Consider the following 10,956-nt stretch of genomic DNA (forward strand, 5'->3'; position numbering starts at 1 on the left):
CATGGGACTCTCTTTTTTCTCTTTCGTTTGAGGAGGACCGGCCTCCACAGCTTTACATTAGCATTTGAATTATGATAAGGAAGCAGGGAAGGAGCAGCCCTGCCGGCTGCTGGATGCAATCTGGCAAGGGTCACCTGGGACTTAATGAGTTCATGAACGCTTCTGAGTTACCTTCTTGCCCCAAACTCAATTCCATGCTTTGGGTTGAAGCCCTAGTAAGGAAAACTGGATCTGAGGGATCCAGAGGAAGATGACAGCAGAAGTCAAGGGGCACAGCGTAGGTGAGCAGGACTAATTCCTGTTGATTAAGCCAAGTGCCTGTTTCATGGATAGAGGTCATGCTAGTATCCATCGGATAAATGAGCTCTGGGGACCTCTACGGTTATCTACAGCAGGGGGGAAAGGCAGCATGTGGGTGAGTGTGGATAATTCCCACCTCCTAGGCCACCCTGTTAACATTGAGTGAAAGCTGCATTGGCACCCATGGGCAGCACCCTGCCGAGGTCACCAGGACTCTGGGATATAAGGACGCAAGAAAGAAAGGGGGACACCTCTTCTTTCTCTCCCTCACATACTCCAGGAAGAGAAAGGAACTAGGGACACCTTGTTCCCCTCTTTCCATATGGGTAACCAATCATCTTCAGTCTGTACTTCTCTTAAATGCCTCCTGAATCACTGGCACTCCTTTGAAAAAAACACCTTTCTCCTTTTCCTCCCCTGTCCTCTCTTTGCAGATGGTAATCGTGTACCCATACCACAGGACACTCCCCTTGGGTGCATCTGCCAAACTGGGAAAAGGTAATTTTCCCAAACCTTAAACTGCTTGGCTTAAAATTGAGCTTGGGGGAAGGGAACCTAGAAGCCTGACATGCCAGCAAAAGGGTAAAAGCTTTTTACCAGTCAGACTTCTGGCCTCCCTTTCCCTGTGCAAATCAGTTCAATGGGTGACAAAATCACTGTTTATATTCTCTGTAAAGTTTTGATTAATGGAAAAAAAAATTGTGAGGCTAGTCTTAAGCTACAGTCAATCTGGTGTGCTTTGTGTGTCTTTCTGTATGGTTCTGTCATAAAGAGGGGTACCTTAGGATAGAATGCGGGCCTAGGACCTCATAAGCCTGCTGTTCAAGCCAGCCTGACAAACTGGTCAGTAACAAACTTTGCTGCAGGTCTCCATCTTGTTTTAAATTTTTGGGAGCTTAACCTTGTTACCACGTAGCAGTACTTTCTTTTGGTCTCTGCCATTTTACAATGGTGCCCCAGGTCCAATCCTAGCTTAGGGAATGAATACTTTCTGTTTAATATCTGTGTAACTTTTACCATTTGCTGATTCTCTTCCCCTCCATGAACAACTTCTAGCTTCCTTTCTTTTTTTTTTTTTTTTTTTGAGACGGAGTCTCACTTTGTCGCTAGGCTGGAGTGCAGTGGCATGATCTCAGTTTACTGCAACCTCTGCCTCCTGGGTAAAAGCAATTCTCCTGCCTCAGCCTCCTGATTGGCTGAGACTACAGGCATGCTCCACCACTCTTGGCTAATTTTTTTTTTTTTTTGTACTTTTAGTAGAGACAGGGTTTCACCACGTTGGCCAGGATGGTCTCGATCTCCTGACCTCGTGATCTGCCCACCTCAGCCTCCTAAAATGCTGGGATTACAGGCGTGAGCCACGGAGCCCAGCCTCTAGCTTCCTTTTGTAAATCTTCCTTTCTCTGAGCTACCATTAAAGAGTCTAGGTTTTGTGAAAACTGCTTACCCCCTCTTTGAAAATACCTTATGCATTCCCAGTTAAGTCATAACCTTAGTTGAGGCTTGTTGGTTTCATCTGTGAGGTTACTTTTGATAAAGTTCGAAAGCCAGAAATACTGACCACTGGTCATGACTAAAGTTGGGTAAAAAGGGATTTAAAAGGATTTTTCTTAAAGAGGGCTCAGCCTAATTAAAAGTAAACATCTAAGCTATACGTATATTTAAAAGGCCTTTATATTTTTCTCTTCATGGATCTTGTTCTTCTGGAAAAGGTTTTTTTCTCAGTCGACTGAATTATTTTTCTCCATTTTGTCTTGCCATTCTTGGTGCAAACATGAGAGGCCCTAAGATAATTTCTGAGATCATGGGACTCCTTGAGAAAAATAGAAAAGGTGCTACGGACCCCATCTTAAGATAAAACGTCTGTTTTCCTCATGGAACCCCAGGTATTAAAAGTGGATAAATCTCTGTCAAATCTGTTTTTGTCTTCCATCTATTACTGTTTATTAGGCCCTGGAAACTGCGTGCTTTCCTAGCCCTGCTTCTTGAAGGGCTCCACCCTGAGGCCAATAATCCATTTAAGAGATGGGCGAATGAAAAATCTTATAAATACTGGATCTTCTTCTGTCTGTACATGTATTATGTATGTGACGGTTATATAAAAAAGCTTTAATTAATTGGTTTAAAGAAAATAAGCACTTAGAAGAAATATTCTTGGAAGGAAAAATAAAGGCCATAGTGTCTTTTAGTTCATGTGACTTTAATCTTTGAAAAATAAAAGTAGTTTGAAAGATAACTGGTAAAATACAAACGTCTTCAAAATGTAAATATGTGGTCTAAATTATGTGGGTCACAAAACAGTGCACCCTGTCAGCAGAAAGCAGTTAAGATCAGTCTTTATCCCTATTCTAATGACAGTTAGATGTACCTCTTCAGAGGGGGGAAATGAGAGCGGCAGGAGGCAGCCAAATGCCTACAGAGATAGGGGAGGGTCCTCAGTGGAACCCGACCTCCAAGCCAAAGACAGTTTAAAGCCTGAAAACCAAGCTACAGGTTAAATCCTCAGATCGGATTAAGAACTTGTCTTCCCATTTGGCGTATTTTCCTCTGATTGGTCTCCACCCTTCTCCTATTTTACATATACCTACCCTTTCCTAATTGGTTTTTCTACACTGTCATGCCCACCTTTGAGTGGTATCTTCACTTTAATCTTTTTTGCATATTCACAAACCAATCAGCATGCACCCCATTCTGAGTTTATAAAAGGCCCCAGAAATAGCCACATGGGGGACTTTCCTGCTTTTGGGTAGGGGAACCATCCCCCATGTCCCCTCTTTGCTGAGAACTTTCCTTTTGCTTAATAAATTCTACTCCATTCTCTCTTCAGTGTCCGTGTGCCTAATTCTTCCTGGTTGTGTGACAAGACCTCGGACTGAGCTGAGCTAAGGAGCAGAAAAACTGCAACAATATGAGGGAAAAGACAGAAGGCAGACTGTGACAAATGAATTTAACTGTACTACAGATGAATTAGATAACCACAATGAAGAAGATGGAAAGAAAGTTGATGATCTCCATAACTTTAGAAAATGCTTTGGCTTAATAATGCAAGGCTAAGGACAAAAAATAAGTATATATAGACATAAACTTTAGTTGATACATTTGTTTCTCAGAGGGGAAGGAGCCAGAAATTCTGAAACTACTTTATTTGTATATTAGGGTTGAGCAAGCAAGTAAATATGTTAGAATATAATGAGAACCAGGTTTCTCGCTGTCAATGAAAGAAGCTACAAACAACAAAAAAAGGAAGGATAAAATGAACCGTGGTGTTGTATAGGAGTTCTAGTTACCAATGTGGAATCGTGGTTTCTTTAAAACACATCTATCTACATAAGTAGACATAGAAACAAATACAGATGTGTATAAGCATGACTTTTTATACATATGTATTTTTTATCTCTATCTACTGAGAAAGCCAAAAGCAGCAGCACCCCAGTAGTCACAAATATCAGTGGCATCCAGATTTAGATCTATGAATATAATTTTTCAATTAAAAAGACAGGGCTCCTTGGAGGTCTACTTGACTCCAGGGTGAGGGTAAGAAAAATTTAGGAGAAGTCTGAAGTATCTGTGATGACAGAAAAAAGAAAGCACTTAAAAAATAAGGGATAGAAGAGGGGAAACAAAGAAAAGAATGGAGCATATAAAAAACACACAGGAACCAACCTATCTGGGCACAATGGTGTGCACCTGTAGTCCCAGGCACTTAGAAGGCTAAAGTGGGAAGATCCCTTAAGCCCAGGAGTTCAAGCCCAGCTTGGGCAACAAAGCGAGACCCCATCTCTTAAAAACAAAGAAGCCAATATGAATGGTCAAAGTTGAAAAATATTGAATAAGAAAATAAATAATGATATTGTTAGATTATAATGAAAATAATCAGATAATATCCATGAGCTTACACTAATGCAAATAAATTAATGGATTAATAAAATAAATAGAGGAAAATACCAACTCTTCAGAAAAAAATACAATTAATAAAGATAGAAGGAATGATAGAAATATGATATTATTACTAGAATCTCAAAGGGATAATTGCTCCAGGTAAGATCCAGCAGTGAATGTTCAAATTAGTGGATAAAAAAATATTTTCCGAAACAGGATATTTGCATAGTCTCTAAGTGCCTCTCTCAAAATAATTAGGAACCACAAAGAGATAAATAGTAAATATACCATGGAGAGGCTAGCAGATACAACCTTAGTCAAGTGATCAAGGTGAGCCTCACCAGCAATGACTTATGTGATATGCCTCCTTCCCCTATATGATATTACCAAAGAGTACTTCACTTCTGTACTATTCTTACCACATAATCCATAACCACTGCCTGAACATGGGAAAACATCACACAAATCATTTGGTGGACACTCTACAAAATAAATAATCAGTATTCTTCCAAATATCAGCGTCATGGATAAGGGAGCCTAAGGAATTGTCATAGAGTACCTAAAACCAAAGAGACATGTCACATAAATGCAATGTGGGATCCTGAACTGAATTCTGAAACAAAGGAAAGGTCATTAGTGAAAGACAGTATTTTACCAATGTTAATTTCTTAGTTGTGATCAATATTCCATGTTAGATGTTAATGTAAGGGGAAACTAGGTAAGAGTATATAGGAATTATGTGTAGCATTTTTGCAACTCTTCTGTAATTCTGAAATTATTTCAATTTTTAAAGGTTTTACCTATGAAAGGGATAAAGGATTTAGGATTATGGGTCAGGGACAGCCATTAGATTTTTTTAATGAATACGTTTTGTGTAATTATGATTTTTGAACTATATGAAGCTATTAATAATTTAGAACTAAATTTAATGTTTTAAAATAAATACAAATAAAAGGAGGTTTTTAAAAAAATTTATACTTTAGTTTCTAAATTGTATACAGGTTTTTCACATGGAATATGATAAAATAATATGCACTATTAGAAAGAAAATATGTAAAAAGTATAACAAAATTAAAAGATTTATGTAGAGTTGGTGGCAGAAAGTATTCAAGCTTTGAGACCTCATAACATCAAAATGAAGTTTCCATTGCTATTGTTTGTGAAGTACAAAAGTACATTACCAGCTATGTCAGAAATAATTTAGAGATAATAGGAATACCCTGCCTTAATTAAACTCTTAGTAAATGTTCAATGAATGAGTCACTGTCATGTTTCTCTGTCTCTTCTACAGACCTCAGTGGACTTGTTCCAAGGAAAAGGAAAGAGGGATGGAGCATGGTTTTATGGCAGCCTTTCCCCAGAATGAAATATACTTTGAGCACATGAGCTCATGAGCAGGAGAAAACTGATCGGAAGGACATGATGGCCATACAAACCTTGTCCTGTATATTTTCTAAAATTATATATCCATGTTCAGCTGAAAATTCAATTTCGAATACTGGGTTTGGTGCTGCAGTTTTTCAGTTATTTAATTGTATGGAATATTTAAATATTCCTTAAATTTGCTGGTGTCATTGCATACTAATTGCACTCTATTGTGTAAATTCTAATTTTAAAATTTGACTAGATTTTTTAGTGAGGCTTTGCTATTGTCAAAGATGCTAAAGTGATTATATGCCTGGTGTCTCATCTGTGATGACAGCTGCTCTATAGCCCTGCCATCTAGTAGGCAATGATACCTTTAGGTTATATTATGCTTACTCTGATAATCTTAATTTACATGAATTAAAAATCAATTTGCCTCCAAACTCTAAAACAATGAACTAGGACACATTTTTCCCATTGTATGCAGTTACTCCATGTGCTTAGGGAAATGTAGTACAGTCAGCACTTCATATCTATGGGTTCCTCATCCATGGATACAACCAATCATGGATTGAAAATATTTGAAAACAAAAAAAATTAAAAATAAGAATATAACAATAAACAATACAAATTAAAAACAATACAGTATGACAATTATTTACATAGCATATAAATTCTTACATATAATTAGGAATTATAAGAAACATAGAGATGATTTAAAGTATACTGAAGGATATGCATAGGTTATATGTAAATACTATGCCATTTTATATAAGGGACTTGAGTTTCCACAAATTTTGAATGCTGAGGGGTGACTATATTCTCAAGAAAGGCTAAATTATATATTCTTTAGTGCCAGGGTACTTTATAGTTACGGCATATAGTGATTTGCTCCACCTATTTGCCAATTCCCAAATCTAACTCTGCTCTCCCCATTAAGTTCGAGAATAGAGCTCTATCAGCTCTTTATAAAACTTGTCCAGCCTTCCTTCCACATAGTTATAAAGAATAAAGGATGATTTCTGACACAAAGGCTAGGGAAATATCTAAGTGCTTCTTCTTGATCAGTATTTCTTACACAGTCAAGGATATTTGGTTGGATTATTCCCTCTGATATGTCCTTTTTCTCAATCTGAATGAAAATTCCAGTTTAAAGTGATTTCTCTTGTTGGAAAACTGTACTCCTCTGCCAAATTTTTGTCCTATCCTCAAACTCCTACTTTGTGTTAAAGTACATTTTCATCATGTCTTGGTCTCTTTATGTCCTATGAAGAGGCTTTTTTGCTCGTGAATGTTTTTGCATGGTGGTGTTATTGTTACTGTTATCGTGTTTTCCTTTGTGTGTGTTAAATTCTTTGGTTCAATGAATAAGGATTTACAGATTAAGAATTCCTGAGTATGTTGAATCCCATATGCAAACTTGGTTGCCTTTTTGAAATGGCATTTTATTAAGCTAATAGTAAGATCAAGCTATAACTGTAGGATTTGCAACAGAATCCCTACAGAGGCATATTTTTTTTTTTTTGAGACAGAGTCTCACTCTGTTGCCCAGACTGGAGTGTTGCGGTGCAATCTCGGCTCACTGCAGCCTCCGCCTCCCAGGTTCAAGTAATTCTCCTGCCTCAGCCTCCTGAGTAACTGGGACTACAGGCATGAGCTACCATGCCGGGCTAATTTTTTTTATTTTTAGTAGAGATGGGGTTTCACCATGTTGGCCAGGATGGTCTCTATCTCCTGACCTCATGATCTGCCCGCCTCAGCCTCCCAAAGTGCTGGGATTACAGGCGTGAGCCACCACATTCCATTTTATATATTTGGGATGGAACAATGTGTTACTACTATTTGATCTAGAGTCAGTGTTTAATGGAGTTCCAGGAGTTCTGTTCCTACAGAGCCATCCAAGGGCTGAAGGATCACTGTCTTATATCACATCCCTTCCCTACACAGCTGTAACCCTACCACAGCACACCTTCTCTGATGCTCTGCTCCTGTATCCCTATTAGTTAATTTTCAAACACTCATGGAGGTTAGATATTACTATTTTCCCTGTTAAACATCTCAGGTTCACTTCAGAGGCAGGAAACAGCCCCAATGAATCAGAGCAGGAAATCTTTTTGGAGCAAGTCTTGCAGACTCACTGCTGCAATGTGGAGAGATCTCAGGAGGCTCTAGATGAGGTGTGAGTGGCTGTGGTAGGAAAGAGGATCCCACTGAGTGGTTTTAGGTGAGAACTACCAATGAATGAGGAAGTATTAATATATCATATTTCATTCAATCTCAAAAGGCATCAATCGTAGAATGAATCATTATTTTGCTTACTCCTGGTAAAATGTCACCAACTACATTGTCACAGTTTTTCTCATCACTGAGAATTGTTAGGTTATTCCATTGAAAGAACTGCTTTCAGACATTGAAATATATATTTCTATCATGTATCATTTTTGTGCATATACAGAATAAGAAAATTAATTGGTTAAGGTATTTCTAAAATTTCTTTACATTAAGAATCTCAGTCTTCTGAATCACTTTTCAACATAGTCATTAATTTCTGTATTTTTCCATACAACATTATTATCTATCATCAAGACATAGCTAATATAATGTTTTCTAAAAGAGTGCTTCACTATTAACTCTGGTATTTTTTTCCCAAGGCAATATTCTGCCAGCTTTTTCTCAAGATGCATAGAAACGTGAAGCAAGTGACAGCCACATCACCAATTTTATCCATAATTACAAAATGCAGCCCTATTTCAGTGATGTTCAAAGGTAACAAAGAAAAGTTTATCTTAGACCTGATAAAATATGATAAATTCAATATGCTTAACAGCTTGTATGACAGGTCTGCTGATGATCAGCTTTGCCTGCATATTCATTATAGCTTGTGTTTACATAGTTCATTTTGTGTGAGGATATCAGAATATTTTTAAAATATTAATAATGCATAGTCTATTCATAAATATTTAAAACCTATAAGTGATATTATGTTCATCTCAGAAATTTGGCAAAGATTAAAATTTCATTGTTTATCTACTAAGAGCCAGAATGAATATTACTAATCAATAGAATTTAAGATTAATTTGTGAATAAAGTTTGTGAGTCTAATTCTGGTAATCTGACTGGATATGGTAAATGAAAAAAAATCAAAATTATAGCCAAAAGTTTAAAAACTATAACAAAGGAAAATAAAGCTGTTGTTGTAAAAACTAATACAATAGCACAAAGTTGGTTTTTTTAAAGAGAAAAAATTTGAGAAATGTTAGATACATTTAAAAAGTCGTGTAAGGGCATGAAACTAAGGGGTCAATGGAAGGAACTGTTTCATGTGGGACAGCATTCTAAAGCAATCCAAATGATAAAACAATTCAAGGAAGTATTAAAATATCAATATGTAAGTACATTCCAGAAATAAGAAAAAGCAATAATGATACAGAATTTTGAATCAGTAATAGAAAGTACAATATTAAGAATATCATGGAATGTGGGGAAAGAGAAGCAAGTGATTAAGTTGAAAGAGATAAACATGACAGATACATGGAGAAAGAAACAAGAAGACACAGAATCACCAATGATATTAATAAAGATGCTATACTGCATTGAGGAAAATATGTTTACTTACTGAAAATGTTTACAAATTCAAGACCAATTAATAAGAAAAGATATATATCATATATATCATATATGTATCATATATATCAATCATATATACCATGTATATATCATATATATCATATATACCATGTATATATCATATATATCATGTATATATCATGTATATCATATATCATGTATATATCATGTATATCATATATCATGTATATATCATGTATATCATATATATCATGTATATATCATATATATCATATATATCATGTATATATCATATATATCATATATATCATGTATGTATCATATATATCATATATATGATGTATGTATCATATATATCATATATATCATGTATGTATCATATATATCATATATATCATGTATGTATCATATATATCATATATATCATATATATCATGTATGTATCATATATATCATATATATCATATATATCATGTATGTATCATATATATCATATATATCATGTATGTATCATATATATCATATATATCATGTATGTATCATATATATCATATATATCATGTATATATCATATATATCATATATATCATATATATCATGTATATATCATATATATCATATATATCATATATATCATGTATATATCATATATATATCATATATATCATGTATATCATGTATATATCATATATATCATGTATATCATGTATATATCATATATATCATGTATATCATGTATATATCATATATATCATATATATCATGTATATATCATATATATCATATATATCATGTCTATATCATATATATCATATATATCATGTCTATATCATATATATCATATATATCATGTCTATATCATATATATCATATATATCATGTATATATCATATATATCATATATATCATGTATATATCATATATATCATGTATATCATGTATATCATGTATATATCATATATATCATGTATATCATGTATATATCATATATATCATATATATCATGTATATATCATATATATCATGTATATATCATATATATCATCTATATATCATATATATCATCTATATATCATATATATCATATATATCATACAGCCTATCATGTTTGCTTGTTTTATTTCCAGGATAATTTGAAAAAATCTTATAAAAACTGATGCAGAAAAAAATAAAATAGATTGCCTTTAACAAAGGGACTGAAGTCAGTTAAATGTTTCTTTCATCAGTACTCTATTACCAGATGATGGAGAAATGTTTGCTGAGTTTCAAGAAAATAAAGGTTGCAAAATCAGATTCCTATATCTAGCCTATTTGTTATTTAGGTGTAAGGTAAACAGGAAGATAGTCTTAGATGTGCAAGAATCTGTACATTAAAAAATACCAAAATTCTATTCAACTAAAAAGTTGGGAAGGATGTGTGCTAACAGGTTTACCATTGATATTCTTTGGGTGGAGGGATTATAGATAATTGTAGCTTCTTTATTCTGTTTTGAATTGTTATTTTCATTTGAAATTAAGTATGGATTGCTTTTATTTTAATAAATAAAAATAAAACTATTTTTATTTGTAGAAGAAATAAATTAGGTGCCCTAAGCAATGTAAAAATTATGATACTACACAGTTCTAAACTCAGAATTTATTTAATATTGCATAATATCTCTATTATTCACAAGGGAAACCAATTAGTTCAAATTTAGCAGCTATTGAGATTGTACTCTATCTCTTAAAAATAAGAATCATCCTAGATAAGACCTGCATGCCAAAACATAACTGAAGGCCTATTTAAATAAAGATATCTCATGTAGAGATTATGCTGAAGTATCT

The 10,956-nt window shown here is 34.4% G+C and overlaps 1 protein-coding gene across 5 annotated transcripts in view; it reads left to right on the plus strand.

The window, feature by feature from the left end:
• Positions 1 to 10,597, plus strand: part of LOC105377864 (uncharacterized) — an 82,536-nt gene extending 71,939 nt beyond the window's left edge. For 3 of the 5 annotated variants that reach the window (XM_047419661.1, XM_047419658.1, XM_047419662.1), the window contains 4 exons: positions 735 to 798; positions 2,013 to 2,186; positions 3,128 to 5,623; positions 8,196 to 10,597. In XM_047419661.1, coding sequence (XP_047275617.1) covers positions 9,252 to 10,289 — 1,038 coding nt within the window. In that variant the 5' untranslated portion in view covers positions 735 to 798; positions 2,013 to 2,186; positions 3,128 to 5,623; positions 8,196 to 9,251 and the 3' untranslated portion in view covers positions 10,290 to 10,597. The remainder of the gene's footprint in view (positions 1 to 734; positions 799 to 2,012; positions 2,187 to 3,127; positions 5,624 to 8,195) is intronic. The other 2 variants (XM_047419660.1, XM_047419659.1) reach the window with 1 other exon arrangement.
• The last annotated feature ends 359 nt before the right edge of the window (positions 10,598 to 10,956 follow it).

The sequence above is a fragment of the Homo sapiens genome, chromosome 6 (genome assembly GCF_000001405.40).
Source record: "Homo sapiens chromosome 6, GRCh38.p14 Primary Assembly".
In the NCBI taxonomy this organism is placed as follows: domain Eukaryota; kingdom Metazoa; phylum Chordata; class Mammalia; order Primates; family Hominidae; genus Homo; species Homo sapiens.